Source organism: Homo sapiens, chromosome 20 (genome assembly GCF_000001405.40).
Source record: "Homo sapiens chromosome 20, GRCh38.p14 Primary Assembly".
NCBI classification, from domain to species: Eukaryota; Metazoa; Chordata; class Mammalia; order Primates; family Hominidae; genus Homo; species Homo sapiens.
Window position 1 is genome coordinate 18,524,102 of NC_000020.11, and position 24,398 is coordinate 18,548,499.

The 24,398-nt window shown below is 43.5% G+C and overlaps 1 protein-coding gene across 5 annotated transcripts in view, besides 1 other annotated feature; it reads left to right on the forward strand.

The window, feature by feature from the left end:
- SEC23B (SEC23 homolog B, COPII component) overlaps window positions 1-24,398 on the forward strand; it is a 53,868-nt gene that overhangs the window by 16,554 nt on the left and 12,916 nt on the right. For 4 of the 5 annotated variants that reach the window (NM_032986.5, NM_001172745.3, NM_032985.6 and 1 more), the window contains exons 5-15: window positions 332-568; window positions 834-919; window positions 1,687-1,831; window positions 2,272-2,430; window positions 3,395-3,510; window positions 6,579-6,702; window positions 8,563-8,643; window positions 11,552-11,641; window positions 18,195-18,301; window positions 18,918-19,071; window positions 21,855-21,932. In NM_032986.5, coding sequence (NP_116781.1) covers window positions 332-568; window positions 834-919; window positions 1,687-1,831; window positions 2,272-2,430; window positions 3,395-3,510; window positions 6,579-6,702; window positions 8,563-8,643; window positions 11,552-11,641; window positions 18,195-18,301; window positions 18,918-19,071; window positions 21,855-21,932 — 1,377 coding nt within the window. The remainder of the gene's footprint in view (window positions 1-331; window positions 569-833; window positions 920-1,686; window positions 1,832-2,271; window positions 2,431-3,394; window positions 3,511-6,578; window positions 6,703-8,562; window positions 8,644-11,551; window positions 11,642-18,194; window positions 18,302-18,917; window positions 19,072-21,854; window positions 21,933-24,398) is intronic. The other variant, NM_001172746.3, reaches the window with a different exon arrangement.
- Window positions 51-1,250: an enhancer, noted in NCBI's record as "MED14-independent group 3 enhancer chr20:18504796-18505995 (GRCh37/hg19 assembly coordinates)". NCBI's record gives its function as "activates an origin of replication core promoter dependent on BRD2, BRD4, P300/CBP and CDK7 cofactors, and independent of MED14, by STARR-seq in HCT116 cells {active_cell/tissue: HCT116}" and the evidence as "EXISTENCE:reporter gene assay evidence [ECO:0000049][PMID:35650434]".

Here is a 24,398-nt window from a genome sequence, read left to right on the forward strand (position 1 = left end):
AACCTCTCCATTCCAGAAAGTTTGCTCCTTGAGGCAGGTAGAAGTCTTTGTTTTTTCTGTTCACTGTGTGTCCCAGGACCTGAAACAATGTCTAGCATGTAGGAAGTATTAAAAAATGTTGGCAAAGTTGTTGGATACAAATAGTTTTTATCTTTAGTTTGATTTAATAAAATCTAAGTCATTTAATAAGTTAGAGCTTTGTATAGATGTCCTTATCTCCTAAAACTAAATATAGATGAAGACTTACAATTTTCATACCTAATTTGCCTTAAAAAGTGCTGGTTAAGTCTATTTGTATATTGATCATTATGCTGTTTTTCTTTGCCCAAAGCGAGGTGCTCAGTCCCCTCTGATCTTTCTCTATGTGGTTGACACATGCCTGGAGGAAGATGACCTTCAAGCACTCAAAGAGTCCCTGCAGATGTCCCTGAGTCTTCTTCCTCCAGATGCTCTGGTGGGTCTGATCACATTTGGAAGGATGGTGCAGGTTCATGAGCTAAGCTGTGAAGGAATCTCCAAAAGTTATGTCTTCCGAGGGACCAAGGATTTAACTGCAAAGCAAATACAGGTTTGTACCTTACTTGTACAGGAGCAGAAACAAGGACTTTTTTTTAAAAGAGACTGGGGTCTCTTTAAAAGAGCCTGTAGCCCAGGCTGGAGTTCAGTGGTGTGATCATTGCTCAATGGCTCAAGCCATTGGCCCACCTCAGCCTCATGAGTAGGTGGGACTAGAGGCACATGCCACCACACCCAGCTGAGGACATTTCTTAAAAATTAGTCATTCACTTTTAGTGTCATTGGAAATGAATCTTTTTGGCTTTTTTTTTTTTAAGGATATGTTGGGCCTGACCAAGCCAGCCATGCCCATGCAGCAAGCACGACCTGCACAACCACAGGAGCACCCTTTTGCTTCAAGCAGGTGAGAGCCCAACATGGAGTGTTACACGTATTGTGATGGACATGCAGATGATCCATGGGAGTAAGGGAAGAAAAATATTAGAATTTGTATTTTCTTATTATTAGAGAAAAAGATAAATGATTAAGCCTAATCAATATTCAGTGTTTTGTCAAAAAGGTTTGGAGACCACTGTGCTCAATTGCTGTTTTTAGACATTCCACATCTGATGTCCTTTTTGATGCTTAAGTAAAACTGGAAAAACTGAAAAGACTTCTTTCATGTGTCCTCAAACATACTTATGACCGGGTATTCACTTGACTCAGCCCATTGAGTGCCTAGACTGAGCTAACAAGCTCGATAAAATGCATTGCCCGACATGCTGAAGACAACCTCTTACTTTCAAGGCTTAAGAGAAGCACAGATTAGAATGATGAGGAATGATGAAGATTGTCCACATAAATGGACCTCACATAGACTGAACTCATGTTAGGCATGTCCTTAGGATTTTTTTGCTGTCTAAAAATTAATTAAACTGAATTGCTCCTTTTCCAGACAATTTTTTTTTCCGTGCAACATAAGTAAATTGCTAAGTACTGGGCTTTATATTCCTCAATAAAACTGCTTTAAATTGTTTTGTGTTAGTAGAGAGATAGCTTTGAAGAAAAAAATTACCAGTCAGTTACTACTCTGAATAATTATCTTGAAGAGCAGTAATTATGTGGCACCTAGTGTTGAAGACCAGAGTACTTTATTCAATCTGGGTTGATGTGTCTGTTAAAATCTTGCAGATTTCTGCAGCCTGTTCACAAGATTGATATGAACCTCACTGATCTTCTTGGGGAGCTACAGAGGGACCCATGGCCAGTAACTCAGGGGAAGAGACCTTTGCGATCCACTGGTGTGGCTTTGTCCATTGCTGTTGGCTTGCTGGAGGTAATTTAAAATTTACCAGGACCTCTCAAATCATACAAATGTGCTCTCAGAAAATATATTTGTTGGCTTTGTTTGAAAATCACTTGTGATCTAAGTCAACCGTCTGTGTTAATGTATCAGAAAGCATTTGAGGCATCATTATCATTCACGTTGAGGGAGCCCCTCAACATTTTGAAAATGCCAAAAGTTTTCATTGAAAAACTAAGAATTAGAGCAATAGGGAGCACTCAAACAGCGAATTAATAAAACTGTGCAAACCCATAAGGTTGGAAGAAGACAAGTGCTGCTTTTCTGCATTATCATCTGTATTATTCTGCATTATCACCACTTTTTAGGACAGCTGGAGAGAATGCATCTTTGGAGTATTTCTATTGGGAAACTGAAACCATACTAAAAGGTGAGGCTGTATACTTCTAACATGCTGCCATTCGCTATTTTAGGGCACTTTTCCAAACACAGGAGCCAGGATCATGCTGTTTACTGGAGGTCCCCCTACCCAAGGGCCTGGCATGGTGGTTGGAGATGAATTAAAGATTCCTATTCGTTCTTGGCATGATATTGAGAAAGATAATGCACGATTCATGAAAAAGGCAACCAAGGTAGGTGCTCTTGGGTATGGGCTGTAATTCTGAAAGCCCATTGTCAGGTTTGGGCTGCTCTGGAGTGACAGCTACTTTGCCAAGGTCATGTGTCATGGTCAGCAAGACGCTGTTTCAGAGACAGTTTTCCAATCTTAGCTGCTGTTAAATTATTGCTCCTACTTTCAGACCTTAATTAGAGTGGGTGGCCTTAAAACTACTCAAAGGGTTTTGAGAATGAAAACTATATTTTTATTTTATTCAGATATTTTTGAAAATGATTTCCAGGCCAGTCCCGGTGGCTCACGGCTGTAATCCCAGCGCTTTGGGAGGCCGAGGCTGGCAGATCACTTCAGGTCAGGAGTTCAAGACCAGCCTAGCCAACGTGGTGAAACCATATCTCTACTAAAAATACAAAATTTAAGCCAGGAGTGGTGACTCACGCCTGTAGTCCCAGCACTTTGGGATGCCAAGGTGGGCGGATCACTTGAGGTCAGGAGTTCGAGACGAGTCTTGCCAACATGGCGAAACGCCTGTCTGTACTAAAAATACAAAAATTAGCTGGGCATGGTGGCATGTGCCTGTAATTTCAGCTACTCGGGAGGCTGAGGCACGAGAATCCGTTGAACCTGGGAGGCAGAGGTTGCAGTGAGCTGAGATCGTGCCACTGCACTCCAGCCTGGGTGACGGAGTGAGACTGTCTCAAAAAGTAAATAAAAATAAAAATACAAAAATTTGCTGGGGATGGTGGCGCACGCTTTTAATCCCAGCTACTTGGGAGGCTGAGGCAGGATGATCACTTGAACCCGGGAGGTGGAGATCGCACCACTGCACTCTAGCCTGGGCAACAGAGAGAGACTCTGTCACAAAAAGAGAAAAGAAAATGATTTACATGTTTTTATATTTGATTACCTCCTTCGGTAATTCAGGCATACCTTGGGAATAATGTCACTGTTTCCTAAAGATAGCTTTCCTCTCTTCACAGCACTATGAGATGCTTGCTAATCGAACAGCTGCAAATGGTCACTGCATTGATATTTATGCTTGTGCCCTTGATCAAACTGGACTTTTGGAGATGAAGTGTTGTGCAAATCTTACTGGGTATGTTGACAGTGAAAACCTGGGCAGAGTGACAGTGTTATTTTAAGGAAAGAGAAATTAGTGATGGAGCCATAGGAATGGGCAAGGCCAACTCAGAGAAGCTTTCAGGTAGCTCTGGGCTATGGTTTCAGTGACTGGGGAGGGCCTGTGGGCTCCTTGGAGAGGGAAGTAGTGATTAGTAGGAGGGCTCAAGAGTTCACTACAAATAAGTCGTTTCAGAGTAACTTATTTCTTCCTTAGAGTTGTTAACACTTTTACAGAGACCAGGCCAAGAAAGCAAGCAGCATGGACTATCTGGCCTTCATCAGGGCACTTCCTTTTGAGAATTGGGGAAAACAGGGTCTGAATGCTGAAACAACTAGGATAAACCTGGCTAAGTGGCCATACTTTGTGACTAACTCCAAGTGCACTCAGCCTAGAGGTTGTACTGACTCAAAGCCTGAGTCAGTATTGTATTCACAGGCCAGAGTGTGGAGCAGTGGTTCTCAACATGTGGTGGTGTCCAGATTTGCAGCCTTAGGGGCTCCTGGGAACTGATTGGAATTGTATATTTCTAGGCCTTACCCAGACCTCCTGAATCGGAAACCCCGGGAATGCAGCTCTCTAGGAGATTCTAGGGCACATGAAAGTGTAGGAACCACTGATGAGCACTGGTCTGCAGCTGCCTACGTATTGTTATCACCAGGGGAACTTTAAAAGCTACACTTTCTTTAGGTCTTGTCCTCAGAGATTCTAATTTAATTAGCATGAGGTGCAGCCTGGGCATCAGCATTTTAAAAGTTTCTCCCGTGATTCTAACATAGAGCCGAGTTTGAGAACCATGCAGCATCTTGAGCCTCACTCTAGACCTGAATCAGAACCTGCATTTGAACAATATCCCAGGTGATTTGCATGCACAGAAGTTTGAGAAGCATCATAGAGCTGTGGAATGGGCCTGAGAGTCTGCATTTCTAACAACCCCACAGGTGATGCTGCTGGTCCCCAGTGAGTAAAAGGAATAAAAGGTAGAACCAGAATCAGTTGGAGTTGTCCTAGAGAGCAGCAGATGAGTTAGGTGATAGAATTAGGGTCCCAAATGATACTGATGTAGCTATCTCAGTAATCCACATTTAATAGTATGAATTCCTACCACGGCCTTCCAGGAGTTCTGACTCGGAATGTCCATAGAAAAGCTTTAGTGTATTTGTGAACATCCCTTAGATTGTATGCTAGTTTGTGTGAATTTTTTCTGTGAAGAGTTACCATCTGTTGCACACATGTGTTAGTATAGCTCAAGGTGAGCCAACAGTGTGGGATGACTTCCAGCAAAGGCAAGGTGATTCCAGGCTGTGCTATAGGAGAAGATTATCTTCAGGGAAGACCATATTCTTGGTTTCTTTGGTGCTAGTCACACCTTATCCAAATACATTGTTTTCTGTTCTGAACATTGCAATTTCAAGGGGCAATAGGAGATGAATTGGAGATGTTTGAAGAAGAGCAGTGGTGGAGAGTCCTGGAAACTGTCATGTGAGGAATGATTGAAGTAGCTGGAAAAGATTAAGCTGAAGACACATGGGGGTGTGAGAACTGTATTCAGCAGTTGAGGGACTTCCCTGTGAAGGAATCTGATTTGTTCTGTATGTGACCAAAGAGTGGAACTAGAACCAAACCAGTGGGTGGAAGCTGCTGGCAAATGAAATTTCACTCAATATCAAGAAGGGCCTTTCTTAACAGAGCTGTTCAAACACAGAATGGACAGCTTGGGGAGGAAGCTCCCAATGCTGGAGGAGTTCAAGCCTAGTCTGGATGTAACTTGGCAGGTATTTTGCAGAGGGTTTGGTTGAGTGTTAGTATTAGAGTTGTGTGAATGTCACAGAAAACCCACAATAAGTTTATTTCTCTGGCGGTAGGCAGTCCGGGGCTGGTATGTTGCTTTCGTCATCATTACGGGCTGAGGCTCCTACTAAGCTGCTCTACCACCATTCATATGCCATCTGTGGCTCAAGACAGTTGCTGGAGCTCTAGCCATTTACAGCAGCAGGAAGGAGGAAAGGTCAGAGAAGGATTGCTCTTCCTGGAGGAACACACTCCACATATAAAGGACACAGCAATAGTCAGAACGCACATGCCAACAGAGGCACATGGCCATAGGCAAGGCAGGCTGGAAAATGTCATTGTTCCAGGAAACTAAGGAAGAGGTAGATATTTGGTGCCAAAGAGCTGACAGACGGTTCAGGCACTCTGAGATGGCCGGACCAGATGATCTTTCTTGTGTTCTTCAAGATTCTGAGATCTTGTTTTATGAATGACGTTTGGAGGCATAACTTGCGTCAAGCTGTGCTTTTCTGTCCAAATGCATGAAATGCTGACATTTTGCACAATGTTTTCCTCTAACTTCAGTAAGGGATTAATATTAATACTCATGAGTTGGAAAACATAATTCTTGTAAAGTCAAGAATTCAGTATTTTGAGGCAGTAAATTAACCTGAAAAGGATTTCCCACAGGCCTGGGTATTTTCCCATACCAAAGAACTGTGAGAGGAATTAGAGCTGTTCTTAAGGCTTCTGTTTAATGCTTTAGAAGTAGTTTCTTTGCCAAGTATGAATTTAACATGCTGTTTTTATTTTTTTAATTTATTTTATTATTTATTTACTTATTTATTAATTTTTTTTTTGTTTGAGAAACAGTCTTGCTCTGTCGCCCAGGCTGGAGTGCAGTGGTCCGATCTTGGTTCGCTGCAACCTCTGCCTCCTGGGTTCAAGTGATTCTCCTGCCTCAGCCTCCTGAGTAGCTGGGATTGTGGCTACTAATCTTTGTGTTTTTAGCAGAGATGGGGTTTCACGATGTTGGCTAGGCTGGTCTTGAACTCCTGACCGCAAGTGATCCGCCCTCCTTGGCCTCCCAAAGTGCTGGGATTACAGGCGTGAGCCACTGTGCCTGGCCTGTTTTTTTATATTTAAATTAATCAGTGGCTCTTTTGGGGACCTGGTTTCTTTTTTTCTTTAAATTATTTTTGTAAATACTGAGGGAGCATCTGAATGGCTTTCAATCTTCCTAATATTCACTTGATTTTTTTCTTCTTACCTAGAGGCTACATGGTAATGGGAGATTCTTTCAACACTTCTCTCTTCAAGCAGACATTCCAAAGAATCTTTACTAAAGATTTTAATGGAGATTTCCGAATGGCATTTGGTGCTACTTTGGACGTAAAGGTACGGTAAACTTTTTTTTTTTTTTATGTGGACTCACTGTACTGCCCAGGCTGGTCTCAAACTCCTGGTCTCAGGCAATTTTCCCGCCTCAGCGTCCTAAAGTGCTGGGATTATGAGGCATGAGCCACTGTACCTGGCCATACTTTTAAAACTTCAATGAAATTATAGTGTTCTTACTTTTTCAATCAATATCCAGACTTCTGGCAACCTCCACCTGCTGGACATGGGCATGTAAAAGCCAATTAAAAGGATCTCAACCAAATGGCTATTAAAAGCATGTTATTCACTTTATCCCTTTGCTTCTTGAGGATGACCTATATATTTATTTATGTTCTAAGTAACAAGCTGCCTGGTTCACCCTCAGGCTCTGCTCCACCCTGCTTCAAGGCAGTAGGAGATAGAAGAGGAAGTAGGGTGGGTGTTATGAGCAGCACTGTGGCCTGAGGACAGGGGCAGCCACACGGTGGTCTGCATCCACCCAGCCATCAGCATGGCTCACTGCATTGCACAGAGACGTGGTTATGTTTAATGTCTTCCTGAAGAATAGCCAAAGTACTCTAAAATAGCACTGGGCCAGGCATGGTGGCTCATGCTTGTAATCCCAGCACTTTGGCAGGCCGAGGTGGGCGGATCACCTGAGGTTGGGAGTTCGAGACCAGCCTGACCAACAGGGAGAAACCCCATCTCTCCTAAAAATACAAAACTAGCCGGGCGTGGTGGCACATGCCTGTAGCCCCAGCTACTTGGGAGGCTGAGGCAGGAGAATGGCTTGTACGTAGGAGGCGGAGGTTGCGGTGAGCCAAAATCCTGCCATTGCACTCCAGCTGTGGCAACGAGTGAAACTGTCTCAAAAAAAAAAAAAAAAAAAGACAGCATTTTGAGATTTTTTTTTTCCCATGTAGGGACTCATGGCCCTGATACAGCTGATTCTAAGTCATTGAGAAAGCATTAAAAGAGGGTGTTAGGCCAGGCACGGTGGCTCATGTCTGTAATCCCAGCACTTTGGGAGGCCAAGGTGGGGTGATTGCATGAGCTTTGGAATTACAGACCAGCCTGGGCAACATAGCAAGACCCTGTGTCTACAAATGATTTAAAAAAAAAAAAATTAACCTCGTGTGGTGGTGCACACCTGTGGTTCCAGCTACTCAGGAGGCTGAGGCGGGAAAATCACATGTGCCCAGGAGTTTGAGGCTGCAGTGAGCTATGATCATGCCACTGCACTCAGCCTGGGCAACAGAGTTGCCAGTTGGCGGGGCAGGTCAGGGGCCGTCATTAGAAGATACGATTGGAATTATTACTTGGAGAATTAGAGATAATTATTAAATCATCTAGGTTAGACTTTAAACCATAATCTTAAATGCTTGAGGGTTTTCTTTTAAAGATGGACTTTTGAAATGAATTCACATTTTAAAAATCTAAGTATGTTGGCCTTGTCGTTATATTGGAGTTCATGAATTAAGTATTTTTAAAGCAACACAAAACAGTATGTTCTCTGATTAGGTATATGCAAATAATTATGGATATACATGAATGTGAATATATTCATACAAGGGATTGGAAAAGAATGTAGTATTGTTAGAATTGTTATCTACATGTACAGTAATTTCCAAGTTTAAAAAGTAAGTTGTGAGAGTTGAAAATGCTCATGTTTCAAGTGTTTCTAAGGGTGGATTTTATTAAAGTTCTAATCACAGTGGCTGAGGAAAAGTTTGTAGGACTAAGCAGTTATGATCCCTGTGGAGTTTTCTCTTGGCAGAATAGTAGTGTTATATTTTCCCTCTAAGCTTTCATTGTGGCCATGATGACAGCAGGGTGGATTGAAGTGATCTTTAACTTTACACTGTCACATATTTGTTATAGACCTCTCGGGAACTGAAGATTGCAGGAGCCATTGGTCCATGCGTATCTCTGAATGTGAAAGGACCGTGTGTGTCAGAAAATGTAAGGAAAACAACTCCATCACCCTCACCTCCTGCCCCGGATTTAACCCGTCAGAAGTGTCAGAGCATGATGATCTCACATGTGTCACCTGTTGGATGTGTCTGCAGTGACAGGAGAAGGGCTAACCCTCACTGATGACTATACTCGGAGAGGTGGTGTTATTCCATCTGTTCATCCAAAGGGTTAGAGAGAAGGAAACTGAGGCCCAGAAAGGTTCAGTATCTTGCTCAGGGTCAGAACTGACATGAAGGAGTTAGAGCCCAGGTGCCCCTGACTCCACCACCCATGGTCGTTGTGCCAAAGCCACGGCATGCTGTTCAGCACAAGGCAAACATTCAGCACAGTCCTTCCAGAGTAAGCCTATTGCTCATTGCCCTTAGAGGTGATACGTTTGTCTCACTCAGCTAATAACAAGCCTTTTACAACAGAGACCACCATGAGTTGGTGTGGAAGTGGGTGACACTGCTGTGTGTGCAGACATCTGTTTTCTCTAGTAATAGTTTTTGAGAACAATTTAGTTATCATTTGAGATGAGCGGCTTTGCTTATTGTCCACTTCCTCTGATTATACTTTACTTGCTAGGAGGCAAACCATTCGGTTTGGCAAGGCCTCTCTAAGGTGGTCCTGGGCTGGGGTTACACAGTCATGTTCTTCCCTCATTGTCACCATCAATGGGAGGGTAGACCATAGAGCCAGATGTGGATCCAAGGTGCAGGTTTACACCCCGCACCTGGCCCGAGCAAAGGACTTATTTGCTCTGTGATTCAGTATCCTTATCTGGCAAATGGGGATAATAACAGTGCCCACTCTACAGCATTGTTAGGAGGTTTAAATGAGTTGGTTCAGGTGAAGCAGTTAGTGCCTGGCACACTGGAAGTGTGGGTCTTCTTTCATGTTGTCAGCAACAAACGTTCTTGGGTGACCACATAAATTAAACTTTTGTTGAGCTTGGCAGAGGCAAGGTGATTTGAGAGCACATTCCTGTAGCCTTCTGAGTGAGGCAGATTGCTGCCCTAAAGCCCATCTGATGAGTCATTCATTACCCCCAGAGTACTAAGGGGCTTGTACCCCTATTTCCTGGCAAGGCTTTGGAAGGCTGCCTTGTTATAAAATATTTTTCATGGACTTAAAATCTGCCTGCTGAAGGCTTCTTGAAGTAGTTTAAGAAGGTATTTTTATGAATTAGTACAAACTAATTAATATTTCTAGTAGAATTCAGCCATGAAAGTTTTGTTTGGGGAATGAGGATGCAAAGAATAGGAAAATACAATTTTCAGACATACTGAGTGATGAATTTCTATACCTACCATTTAGTCATTGATTGTTAACATTTTGCCATAATTGCTCTGTTGTCTTGTTTGCCACATTTGCTTTATCTGATTTTCATTTATTTGCCACATTTGATTTATCAACTTTTTTTTTGCCGACCTTTGAAAATAATTTGCAGATATCATGACAGTCCTTAAGCACGTCAGTATGCATCTTCTAAAAATAACGATGTTCTCCTACCACGATGTCATTATCAAACTTAAGAAAATAATAATTTCCTAATATCTAGTTCATATTTTTTTCCTAATTTCCCCCCAAATGCCCTTTGTAGCTGTTTTTACCCCAACTGGCATTGCATTTGATATTACAGCCTTTGTAAAGTGAGAGTCTGGGTTAAAGGTGTGTTTACATTCAGGCAAAGCCTTTTTGCCAAGCATTGTTCCTGGGCAGTGTGTACTTTATGCTTGTGTCACATCCAGAGGCACTATGTCTGCTGTCCCGTGTTACATGTGCTGAGTTAGATCGCTTGGTGATGGTGGTAACTGCCCCACTGCCTTTCTACTGTAAGGGAACACTTCCCCCTTTGCCATTAGCAGGCAATCTTTTGAATGAGAGTGTGTAGCACAATATGAAACTCTTGTTTGCCAACAGCCTAATGGTTTTTAGCATCCATTGATCTTCATGCAAATCAGTTTATTTCTTTGGGGATTATAAAATGGTCATTTCCTAATTGTCTTTATCGTTTCTCCAATAAAGGCATCTAAAGAGCAAATGTTTAAGTAAGGAATTTGTGTATCAGTGAGAAAATGATATTTTGGAGCTCTAGAGGAGCCGTCCTGGGTCTGGTGCTTAGAATGGGGTTAGCAAGGCAAGAAGGGGAGGCATGAATGCTCCTTTGACTTCTTTGCCTTTTTCCTGAGCACAGCTCTTCACCTTCCAGCAGATAATAAACACCTGCTTCCTTTAGAAAAGGCCACTACAAGGAAGGTGAACCCCCGTGAATCCATCTATCTTATTATCTAGCTTAGGGAGTACTGACAGAACAGAGTGCACCCTCTCCGCTCTCCACCTTAGAGCTGCTGTGTGATTTCACCTTAAGGGTCTTTCTTAAGAGTCTGACTTGATTGATTCTTTGTGGATTTCAGCGTTATATACCATGTAGAGACACCCCCTGACACACCCACCCCCCCCCACACACACGTAGTATATGTGTAAACCCGGAACGATGGGTCACACCTGTAATCCCAACACTTTGGGAGGCTGAGGCGGGAGGATTGCTTGAACCCAGGAGGTCGAGGCTGCAGTGAGCTGTGATTGTGTCACGGCACTCCAGCCTGGGCAACAGAGTGAGAGACCATCTCAAAATAAATAAACATAAATAATATATATGTATAGTATATATGATGTAATAAAAATTGGTCAGAATGTTAATATAAAAAGCTTAATTTTAAAGTGTAAATGTAAATGTTAAGCCTTCATCTGTTCTCTTTTCAGGAGAAGGTTTTATTTCAACTTAAATGTTCTCCTAAAAGAAGATACTCTAAGTAGCCTGCCCTACTCAGTCAGTACTTTTCATTAGCAATTAACCACAGGGATGGTTTTCTGGTTTTGTTTTTCAAATTCCTCTTCCCACCCCCAGGAGCTTGGTGTTGGTGGCACGAGTCAGTGGAAAATCTGTGGCCTAGATCCTACATCTACACTTGGCATCTATTTTGAAGTTGTCAATCAGGTGAGTTGGATTTCTTCACATGTCTTCATGTCTTAGTGTCCTGTTTTGTGATTTATCTCAAACCAGTGGTCTCTGGTTACTTTCTTCACAAACCAATATTCCTTGGGTATTGTATTAGGCCTGATGATAGTCTGGCATGACCTTTTCTTATTTATTCCTTCAAGGGTTTAGTCGGAGTCAGGCAACAAATTACTTTTGTCCTTTTATTGTTGAACTGATAAGGTCATTAGAAGTGTAATAGATTTTACCAGTCATCATAATGTTGGTGAATTTTTTAGTGCATCGGTTCTTTCCCTAATATTTTATTATGAAAAATTCCAAACATACAGAAAAATTGAAAGAATTGTACGGTGAACACGTACTACCTAGGTGAACCCATCAACTTGATTCTGTAATTAACATTTTACTCTACTGGCATACCTTGGAAATACTGTGGGTTCAGTTCCAGACTACCACAATAAAGTGAATATTGCAATAAAGCAAGTCACATGAATATTTTGGTTTCCTATTGCATATAAAAGTTATGTTTGCACTATAGTATGTTAAGTGTTAAATAGCATTATGTCTTTGAAAACATTGTTCATTCTTGGATTAAAAAAATACTTTACAGTTGACCCTTGAGTAGTGTTGGGGTGCTGACACTGCATAGTTAAAAATCCACATATAACGGCCGGGTGCTGTGGCTCACGCCTGTAATCCCAGCACTTTGGGAGGCCGAGGCGGGCGGATCATGAGGTCAGGAGATCGAGACCATCCTGGCTAATATGGTGAAACCCTGTCTCTACTAAAAATACAAAAATTTAGCCAGGTGTGTTGGTGGGTGCCTGTAGTCCCAGCTACTTGGGAGGCTGAGGCAGGAGAATGGCGTGAACCCAGGAGGCAGAGCTTGCAGTGAGCCAAGATCGTGCCACTGCACTCCAGCCTGGGCAACAGAGCGAGACTCCATCTCAAAAAAAAAAAAAAATCCACATATAACTTTAACTCCCCCAAAACTTAACTACTAGTAGTCCACTGTTGACTGGGAACCTGACCGATAACAGTTGATTAACACATATTTTGTAAGTAATATATATTATGTCCTGTATTCTTACAATAAAGTAAGCTAGAGAAAAGAGAATGTTATTAAGAAAATCATAAGGGAAGGAAAGTGTATTTACTATTTGTTAAGTGGAAATGAACATCACAAAGTCTTCATACTCTCATCTTCATGTTCAGTAGGCTGAGGAGGAGGAGGAAGAGGAGGGTTTGGTCTTGCAGTCTTGGGTGGCAGAGGCAGAAGAAAATCCACATATAAGTGGACCTGTACAGTTCAAACCTGTGTTACTCATCATTAAAAAGTCAGGAAACAACAGGTGCTGGAGAGGATGTGGAGAAATAGGAACACTTTTACACTGTTGGTGGACTGTAAACTAGTTCAATCCTTGTGGAAGTCAGTGTGGCGATTCCTCAGGGATCTAGAACTAGAAATACCATTTGACCCAGCCATCCCATTACTGGGTATATACCCAAAGGACTATAAATCATGCTGCTATAAAGACACATGCACACGTATGTTTATTGTGGCTCTATTCACAATAGTAAAGACTTGGAACCAACCCAAATGTCCAACAATGATAGACTGGATTAAGAAAATGTGGCACATATACACCATGGAATACTATGCAGCCATAAAAAACGATGAGTTCATGTCCTTTGTAGGGACATGGATGAAATTGGAAATCATCATTCTCAGTAAACTATCGCAAGGACAAAAAAACACCGCATGTTCTCACTCATAGGTGGGAATTGGACATTGAGAACACATGGACACAGGAAGGGGAACATCACACTCTGGGGACTGTTGTGGGGTGGGGGAAGGGGGGAGGAATAACATTAGGAGATATAACTAATGCTAAATGATGAGTTAATGGGTACAGCACACCAGCATGGCACATGTATACATATGTAACTAACCTGCACATTGTGCACATGTACCCTAAAACTTAAAGTATAATAATAATAAAAAATAAATAAATAAATAAAAAAACCTGTGTTGCTCAAGGGTCAACTATATTGCTCAAAAATGTTAATGCTCATCTGATCCTTTAGTGAGTCATACTCTTTTGCTGGTGGAAGGTCTTACATTGATGTTGTTGGCTGCTGACTGATCAGGTTAGTAGTTGCTGAAGGCTGAGTGGCTGTGGCAGTTTCTTCTCTTTTTGTTTTTTTTTTAATTAAGACAAAGTCTTGTTCTATCACCCAGGCACGATCTATCACCCAGGCACGGTCTTGGCTCACTGCAACCTCCACCTCACAGGTTCAAGCCATTCTCCCACCCCAGCCTCCCGAGTAGCTAGGCTTACAGGTGCCAGCCACCATGTCTGGCTAGTTTTTGTATTTTTAGCAGAGACAAGGTTTTGCCACAATGGCCAGGCTGGTCTTGAACTGACCTCAAGTGATCTGCCTGCCTCAGCTCCCAAAGTGTTGGAATTACAGGTGTGAGCTACCACGCCCCACCTGGGAATTTCTTTTTTTTTTTTTTTTTTGAGACGGGGTCTCGCTCTGTACCCCAGGCTGGAGTGCAGTGGCATGATCTTGGCTCACTGCAAGCTTCGCCTCCTGGGTTCACGCCATTCTCCTGCCTCAGCCTCCCGAGTAGCTGGGACTACAGGCACCCGCCACCACGCCCAGCTAATTTTTTTTTTGTATTTTTAGTAGAGACGGGGTTTCACCCTGTTAGCCAGGATGGTCTCGATCTCCTGACCTCGTGATCCGCACGTCTCTGCCTTCCAAAGTGCTGGGATTACAGGCGTGAGCCACCATGCCTGGCCGGAATTTCTTGAAATAAGGCAACAATGAAATTTGCTGCATCAGTCGACTCTTCCTTCCAGGAAAGATTTCTCTGTAGCATGCAGTGTTGTTTGATAGCTTTTTACCCACAGTAGAACTTCTTTAAAAAATGGAATCAATTCTCTTAAACTTTGCTGCTGCTTTATCAACTAAGTTTATGTAATATTGTAAATCTTGTCATTTCAACAGTGTCACAGCATCTGCATGAGGAGTAGATTCCATCTCAACAAATGACTTTCTTTGCTTATGCATAAGAAGCAACTCCATATCCATTAAAGTTTTATCATGAAATTGTAGCAATTCAGTCCCATCTTCAGGATCCGCTTCTTCATCTTTTTAATTAAAAAAAATAGGCCGGGTGTGATGGCTCCCGCCTGTAATCCCAGCATTTTGGGAGATTGAGGCAGGTGGATCACGAGGTCAGGAGTTCGAGACCAGCCTGAACAACATGGTGAAACCCCGTCTCTACTAAAAATACAAAAAAAAAAAAAATTAGCCACGCATCGTGGTGCACACCTATAATCCCAGCTACTCAGGAGGCTGAGGCAGGAGAATTGCTTAAACCAAGTGATGGAGGTTGCAGTGAGCCGAGATTGCGCCACTGCACTCCAGCCTGGGAGACAGAGCAAGACTCCGTCTAAAAAAAAAAAAAGGCCGGGTGCGGTGGCTCACGCCTGTAATCCCAGCACTTTGGGAGGCCAGGGCAGGTGGATCACGAGGTCAAGAGATTGAGACCATCCTGGCTAACATGGTGAAACCCCATCTCTACTAAAAATACAAAAAACAAAATTAGCTGGGTGTGGTGGCGGGTGCCTATAGTCCCAGCTACTTGGGAGACTGAGGCAGGAGAATGGCATGAACCCAGGAGGCGGAGGTTGCAGTGAGCCAAGATTGCGCCACTGCACTCCAGCCTGGGCGACAGAGCAAGACTCCGTCTCAAAAAAAAAAAAAAAAAAAGAGATGGGGTCTCTCTTTGTTGCCCAGACTGGTCTCAAACTCCTGGGCTTAAGCCACCTTGGCCTCCCAAAGTGCTGGGATTACAGGCGTGAGCCACCACACCCAGCCAGGATCCACTTTTTTTTTTTTTTTTTGAGATGGAGTCTTGCTCTGTTGCTCAGGCTGGAGTGCAGTGGCACCATCTCAGCTCACTGCAACCTCTGCCTCCCGGGGTCAAGCAATTCTGCTGCCTCAGCCTCCCGAGTAGCTGGGATTACAGGTGTCTGCCACCACACCCACCTAATTTTTGTATTTTTAGTAGAGACGGGGTTTCACCGTGTTGTCCTGGCTGGTCTTGAACTCCCGACCTCAGGTGATCCGCCTGCCTTGGCCTCCAAAGTGCTGGGATTACAGGCGTAAGCCACTATGCCCAGCTGAGGATCCACTTCTAATTCTAGTTATCTTGCTCCTTCCACCACATCTTCAGTGACTTCCTCCACTGAAGTCTCAAACCCCTCAAAATTATAAGAACTGGAGTAAACTTCCAAACTCCTGTGAAAGTTGATATTTTGACCTCTTCCCATGAATGATGAGTGTTTCAATGACATGTAGAATGGTGAATCCTTTTCAGAAGATTCTTCATTTTCTTTGCCCAGATCCATCCCAGGAATCACTAGGTATGGCAGTTATAGTCTTATGAAATGTGTTTCTTAAATTTAAGACTTGAAAGTCAAAATTTCTCCTTGATTCATGGGATGCAGAACGGATGTTGTGTTAGCAGGCATGAAAACGTTTATCTCCTTTATATCTCCGTCAGAGCTCTTGAGTGACCAGGTGCATTGTCAGTGAGCAGTAATATTTTGAAAGGAGTCTTTTTTTTCCTGAGCAGCAGGTCTCAACAGTGGGCTTTAAATATTTAGTAATTGCTGTACACAGATGTGCTGTCATCCAGGCTTTGTTGTTCCTTTTGTAGAGCACAGGAAGCGTAGATTGAGCACAATTCTTAAGAGTCCTAGGATACTTGGAATGGTAAATGAGCATTGGCTTCAACTTAAAGTCACCAGATGCCCAGGTATGGTGGCTCACACCTGTAATCCCAGCACTTTGGGAGGCCAAGGTGGGTGGATTGCTTGATCTCAGGAGCTCAAGACCAGCCTGGGCAATGCTGTGAGGCCTCATCTCTACCAAAAATACAGAAATTAGCCAGATGTGGTGGTGTACGCCTGTAGTCCCAACTACCTGGGAAGCTGAGGTGGGAGAATCTCTTGAGCCTGGGAAGCCGAGGTTGCAGTGAGCTGAGATCATGCCATTCCACTCCAGCCTGGGTGACAGAGCAAGAACCTGTCTTAGAAAAACCAAATAGAGTCACCAGCTGCATTAGATCCTAACAAGAGAGTCAACCTGCCCTTTGAAGCTTTAAAGCCAGGCATTGACTTCTCTCTAGCTATGAGAATCCTAGATAGCATCTTCTTCCAACTACACTGAAAATCTGTGGTTTAGTGTAGCCACCACCTTCATCAGTGATCTTAGCTAATCTGAATAACTTGCAGCAGTTTCTACATCAGCACATGCTGCTTCACCTTGTGCCATTATGTTATGGAGATGGCTTCTTTCCCTAAACCTCAGGAACCAACCTCTGCCAGCTTCCAGCTTTCTCCTGCAGCTTCCTTACCTCTCTCCACCTTCATAAATTGAAGAGAGTTGGGACCTTGCTCTGGATTAGGCCCTGGCTTAAGGGAATGTTGTATCTGGTTTGATTTTCTATTCAGACTACTAAAACATTCTCCACATCAGCAATAAGGCTGTTTCACTTTCTTATCATTCACGTGTTCACTTTTAATTTCCTTCAAGAACTTTTTCTTTGCATTCACAGCTTGGCAGTTTTGGGGCAAAAGGCCTAGCTTTCAGCTATCTTGGCTTTCAACATACCTTCCCTACTAAGATTAATGAGTTTTAGCTTTTGATTTAAAATGAGAGATGTGTGACTCTTCCTTTCACTTGAACACTTAGAGGGCATTGTAGGGTTATTAACTGGCCTCATTTCAATATTGTTGTATCTCAGGAAATAGGGGAGGCCCAAGGAGGAGGAGAGAGATGAGGGAAAGGTCAGTCAGTGGAGCAACAGAATATACACAACATTTATCAGTTAAGTTTGCCATCTTATATCAGTGCAGTTTGTAGCACCCCAAAACAATTAAAATGGTAACATCAAAGATCACTGATCACAGATCACCATAGCAGATATATAATAATAATGAAAAAGTTGGAAATATTGTGAGAATTACTGAACTGTGACACAGAGACATGAAGTGAGCACATGATGTTAGAAAACTTGCGCCAATAGTCTTGCTTGATGTACGATTGCCACAAATCTTCAATTTGTTAAAAAATCTGCAAATAAATGAGGCATGTCTGTGTTTGTTTAATGATTAACAATCCGTCACAAACTGGATAATTCATCAGCAATAACTCATCCAGTTTGTGATTCATCAATCCATCTTCGTTTTGCTGCATTTCAAAACAAGCCTCAGTCATCCATGTATTTCATGCCTAAACACTTCAGTAGGTGTATCATTAACTTAAGTTCAGTATTGAACGTAGTTCTTCAACTTTTTTGGAGATAAGGTTATATGCAGTGAAATGTGCAAATCCTAAGTGTGCCCTTCAAAATGTGTCAAGAACCTTCCTGTCATTGCTGTGTCAGTCATTTTAGAAGAGTACAGTGGGCTCTGTGACCGTGTTTGAGTTGCGCCTATAACAGACAAGGTTATGGCCTCTCATCCTACAGCACAACACCCCGATCCCCCAAGGAGGCAGAGGAGCCATCCAGTTTGTCACGCATTATCAGCACTCCAGCACCCAGAGACGCATCCGCGTGACCACCATCGCCCGAAAGTAAGCAGCCCCAGTTTCCTTTCTGTTGAGGAACTGACTGACATTTTTCCCTTGAAGAGATACTTTAACATTTGTTAGTTTGTCTTTTTGATTCCATTGAATGGTTCTCACCAGACCTCATTAGCTTATTTGATCAGAGGAGGAGGCATTTTTGGCTAACCCAGTTGGGCCTATGAACACTTGCCTAGAGGAATCATCTTTCTGTAGGAAATATAGTTCATTAAAAGTATTAATTATTATTATTATCATCTGGAGACAGTCTCGCTCTGTTGCCCAAGCTGGAGTACAGTGGCACAATCACAGCTCACCACAGCCTCAACCTCCCATGCTCAAGTGATCCTCCCACTTCAGCCTCCCAGGTAGCTGGGACCACAGGCACCTGCCACCAAAACTAGCTAATCTTTTTACTTTTATGCAGAGAGATGGTGATCTCACATTGTTGCCCAGGCTGGTCTTGAACTTCTAGGCTCAAGCAGTCCTGCCACCTTGCCCTCCCAAAGTGTTGGGATTTCAGGAATGAGCCACTGCACCTAGCCTGTGTTTCTTTTTCTGAATGGATGTCTGGCTTTCTGATCTCTCCTAAACATAAGCATGGCACTAACTCTGGAATTGTCAGTTGGGCAGATGTACAGAGTCAGCTCAGGCACATAGAAGCAGCATTTGACCAGGAGGCTGCGGCAGTGTTGATGGCACGGCTTGGGGTGTTCCGAGCGGAGTCAGAGGAGGGGCCCGATGTGCTCCGGTGGCTGGACCGACAACTCATCCGACTGGTAAATTGGGGACAGTGGCATTAGGTTCAGTCTTGGTTTCTGCTTTACTTTCGAGAAGAAAATTGTCACTTAATTATTATTATATAGTGAATCAGCAAGAATTTATCAGTTGCCTACCTTATGCTGCACGCTGGACATTCTGTTAAAGACGTGTTAAATGTGCATTTTCCCCTCAGAGATTTACATTATAGTTGGGAAGAAACAACACGCATGGAGCATTTGGAGAGTGATACAAATCTGTGTGGGTTGAGTTGACTTAGATGAGTCATTTTGTGAATGCTCTGGTCTTGTATTTTTCTTCTAAATCTGGAAAGTGGTTTTGGAAATAGGGATCCAGCCTGGTAAGTTTAGGGAGATGCCTTTTATCAGTCTGGATTTAATGAGATGAGAGAAGTCACACTGTAATTTAAATGGGGAAAGTCTTTTATAAAGAATACAACAAGAGAGTAGAACAGTGAGGGACTGGCTAGAAGGAAGTATAGAGAAGTGGGCAGCCACTACTTGTGGGGCTGAGATAGAGCACCAAAGGAAGTGCCCTTCTCCCCAGGGCTGATCCAGACCTAGTTGGGAGGGCATGGCCATGGCTTGGTGAGTCTTTTGCAGAGAAGTTACCGTGGTGCTGTGCCAGGGGAACTTACTAGAAATTCACTTTCTAGAATTTGAAGAAAATCCACCCTCCAGGGTGCCAGGGAAAGCTGTGTATAGGAAAATGTCTCACTGGAGACATGCAGGGATGCTGCTTAGCTGCTGGCTGCCATGTTCTCCAGGAGCTCAGCACTGGGGAGCCACGGTGCAGCAGGACCTGGCACCCGGGAAGCTGCTGAATGAGCACTCGGGCGCCCAAAGCTGACGCTCACCTCCAGCACTCTCTACTGACAACGCTTGATATCGTGCCAGCTGGCAAAGGAGAGGTAGTGAAAGGGCCCATGTCCATTTCACAGCAGGCAAAGGGGGTGAGTTTGGAGCCAGCACAAGGCAATAAATCAATAATTGGCACATGATAATCTTACCTTCCTGGAGAGTCACAGCATGTGTTTGTGATCAAAGCCACCATGGAAAGGCCCAGTAGGGAAACCTGTTTCATTTTGTTCAGCCCTCTATTTGCCCTTGCCATCTCATGGAACCATTTTTCAGGAAGTGTCAACATTTCAAACATAATTTGAAAATTGCTTCTTTAGGATTTCAGAGGGAGGATAGATAAGCAGAGGGCCCAGGTGGCTAACAAAGACTTCCTGTGGAAATGAGCCTTGAGTCAGGTTTTTATTACAGAATTAATTGGAGAAGGGAAGGCAAGGCTTGCTGAGTGGAGGGCTAGCAGGAATGAGCCTGCAGGAGCTAGCTGGGTCTTTTAGCTTATGCTGAGGACTTTGGAGAAACCAGTGTCACAGGAGGCTAGGTTGTGCAGTGGGGAACAGAGTCAGGGAAGGTACACCTTGATTGGGGAGCTCCTTAACTTTAGGGAGCAAGGGAGACGTGGCTGTGATTGTTAAGCGGGGGTTTGATGTCAGCATGATGCTTGTGTTTACATTTAATATCACCATGTGAGGCACATTGCAGAGAGAAAAGGCTATTGTTGTGAATGGAGGATTTTTCAGGCTCAATGGCACTGAGACCAGCATAGTGGCAGGAGAGATGGAGGAAGCAGAAGGTTTGAAATCAGGATGTAAACTGAAAGAATTGATAAAACTTGATGAAATGATTCTGTGTAAAGTCAAAAACCAAAAAGTCAGCACTGAATGACATTTCACACATGGGTAACTGCATGAGTGGTGTTGAGGTAGAAGATGGGAAAGGAGAGCAACTTTAGGGTGGGAGAAAGTTTTTTCTCTTTTTTTAATGTAATAGTTTATTTTTGATAATTTTTGATAATTGAATGTGAACTTGCAAAAGTGTGTCTCACGAAAACTCCCATATTTGGGTGGATGTCCTGACTGGGGCTCAGGCTATAGGTCAGCACTGGACACTGGAGGGTGGATTTGGATGACACCCATCTGGCTCTAGTGTTCATTTGTACCCAAAGCAGTGAGGATGGGAGGAGGGGGCCAAGAACTAACCCCCAAGGAGTCCACAGTTAGGGGGAGGAGGAAGACAAAACCATTGAAGAAGGCAGAAAAGGGTTGGTTGGAGAGATTATGAGAAATAGGAAAGTGATGTATTAGCAGCTGAAGGAGAAAGTTTCGAGACATTTGGGCAGTCACCTGGCTCATGCTGCTAGGAAGTTCAAGAAGACGAGAACTGCGGAAGGACACCAGATTTTGTGGGAAGAAAGTAATTGTTAGAAATGGGGTTTCTTTAAATGATGAACAGTCCAATTCTTTAGTGACCAGAAATGTGTGAGCAGAAATAAAGGCGGGAAGAGAAAACATTGTGGTTCAGAAGTCTGCCATTGGGAGAAATAAATTTGAGTTTTAGTGTGAGAGAACATCAAAGCGTAACTATAATTGTTAGTTTTCATGGTGTTAGAGGGTTTTCATATGGAACAGGTGCCTGGAAGAGCTCACCTAGCTTCTCTGGTTAGGGCAGTCCTCAGGCCAGCATTGCCTGAGAGCTGATTAGAGATGCAGAATCTTCAGCTCCTCCCTAGAGTCTGCATTTTAACAAGATCCCCTGGTCATTTGCCTGCTCACTGATGCTTGAGAAGTGCTAGTCTAGGACTTATAGTAAGTGGCAGAGTTCAGACTGGATGTAGCTTAGTCCAGGAATATTTCCAGGTAATGCTAACTTAGATTTTTCTCTCTCTTTTTGTGTGTGTTTGTTTGTTTTTTGGTATTTTCTTTCCATAGTGTCAAAAGTTTGGACAGTATAACAAAGAAGACCCCACTTCTTTTAGGTTATCAGATTCCTTTTCTCTATATCCTCAGGTAAGTAATGTATGTTTCTAAAATAACTACAGAGCAATAAATTTTGATAGAAATTAACTTTATTCTTAGGGTAAAGTGAAGACTTTTTAATGTGTTGAGACTCAGTCTGTAGGTGACAGAGATTGTTCAACCCAAGTCGAATATGTGTCTAGGCAAGACAGCACCCTACGCCCTACAGAAGATAGAGATGACATGCAGAGGGGAGAAAACTCATGCATACATTTTCATGAACAGGCAAAATAGGATCATTGATATAAGGCCGTAAAAAATATCTCTCATGTGTAGAAGTTCTGGGGAAACAGCTACCTCAGCAACAAACCAAGAAAATGAGCACACATGGAGATGAAGATAACAAAACAAAACCACAGTTAGTACAACAAATATTTAATAATATGTCTGTGGTTATTATGTGCATCATAACCAGGAGTGAGCAATAAGCAGCTCCTGAAAGTAACTGCACTCTGCATGAACCAAGCCTTTGGAAGCCATTGGACAAGAGAGAGGAGCAGGAGAAGTAGATGAATTTCCGTCTCCATTGTAACTTAGGAAATAGAGCACAATTCATGGGTGTCTATAAGGATTACAGGAGCTGAGGCCAACTGAGTATTAAATATTTAGCACAATGCCAGTAACCTGTTCAGCACTAAATGTGACCTAGCTCCATAGCAGGTGCCTGGGACTCTGAGGTGTCCATGTGCCAGAGGTTAAAGCTGTGTGGTGTTGTGAGAAGAGCCCTGGACCGGCCAGAGTCAGGTTGAGGTTCCAGTGCTGGCTCCGCAGGGGCTGACCTTAGAGGAGGTTCCAAAGCCCCGTAGAGTTTGGTTTCCCACCTCTAGCAGTGGGGAGTTGGTCTGGTGAAGTGGTTTGCAGTTTTTTTTTTTTTTTTTTTTTTTTTTAAAGCCATGGAATCCTTTCTTTGAGAGGAGCTGCCCTTAAAAGCCAGCACATAAAGCAGACAGAGTTGGTGCTTCTCTGGTTGTGCCTGTGTACCACCCCCACACTGGGTCCCACCAGAGCCCTCATCCCTGGGCCCCTGAGGACTTGATGAAGACTCTAAGAGCACAGCTTGAAAACCAGATGAAATGCTTTCTCAGATTCCTTCTGTCAAGGCATTCTAGGAAAGAGGCCAACAGCCCAGTCTCTAGAGCCAGGCGGCCAGGTGTAGAGTCCAGCTGTGACACTCAGTAGTGGGGTGACCTTGGACAAGTTGCTCGCCCCTCTGTGCCTCAGTTTCCTCACCTGTAAACTAGGGATGGTAAGAGAACTTACCTCATGGGCTTATTGGAAGGATTAAATAGTTCTTGTCAAGTGCTTTGTGACTTGCATGTAGGATGTATTAGATGTCAGCCTTGATTATTATTTAGGAACCTATGATTGAATATTTGGAGTCTCAGGAAGCTTTACACTTCACAAGGCAGCTCATTTTCGTGTTCTGGCAACTCTTTAATGTGAGCTGAAAGTCTGCCCCCACCCCTTCTTCTCATCCTCGAGGGCGAGAACCTATGGTTGCAGTGTCATCCCTTGTCCCTTTCTCCCCTGCACCAACACTTCACCATCCCAGCTTGTGTCCTGAGCTGTCATCTGCTGTTCCTGTGCCTGGAATCCCCTTCCCCCTGGCCCTGTGGCCTCCTCAGCCACGTCTCTCAGGGTGCACTGTCAGTCCCCGGAGCTCTAGGAAGTCTCCTCCTGGCCCTCCACCCCCACTCCCCACTGCTATCCTGTACTCTGGCTCATAACTCGTAGCCCGAGTGTGCCTTTCTCACTGGGCCTGACTTCTGAGAGCAGATATTCTGTCTCCACTGCCTGGCACAGTGACTCTGGAAATAAACATTTCTTTGGCTTTCCTCTTAACTGTGGAAGCTTTGACATACCCAGAGGCCCTTTTCTTAAAAAAATTTTGTATTTTTTTAAAAATTTTTAATTTTTAATTTTTTTGAGACGGAGTTTTGCTCTTGTTGCCCAGGCTGGAGTGCAATGGCCTGATCTCAGCTCACCGCAACCTCCCCCTACTGGGTTCAAGTGATTTTCCTGCCTCAGCCTCCTGAGTAGCTGGGATTACAGGCGCCCACCACCACACCCGGGTAATTTTGGATTTTTAGTAGAGACGGGGTTTCTCCATGTTGGTCAGGCTGGTCTTGAACTCCCGACCTCAGGTGATCCGCCCGCCTCGGCCTCCCAAAGTGCTGGGATTACAGGCGTGAGCCACCACGCCTGGCCAAAGGCCCTTTAAAAAAAAAAATTAATTTTTAATGTGGTAAAACACACATAACAAAATTTACCATCTTAACCATTTTTAAGCATACCGTTGAGTAGTGTTACGTGTATTCCCATTATTGAGCAACTGATGTCTAGAATTTTTCACTTTGCAGAGCTGAAACTCTGTGCTCATTAAGCAACAACTCTCAGTTTTCCTCTTTCCCTAGCCCCTGGTGCCCCCTTATGCTTTCTGTTCTGTGAAACCAGAGA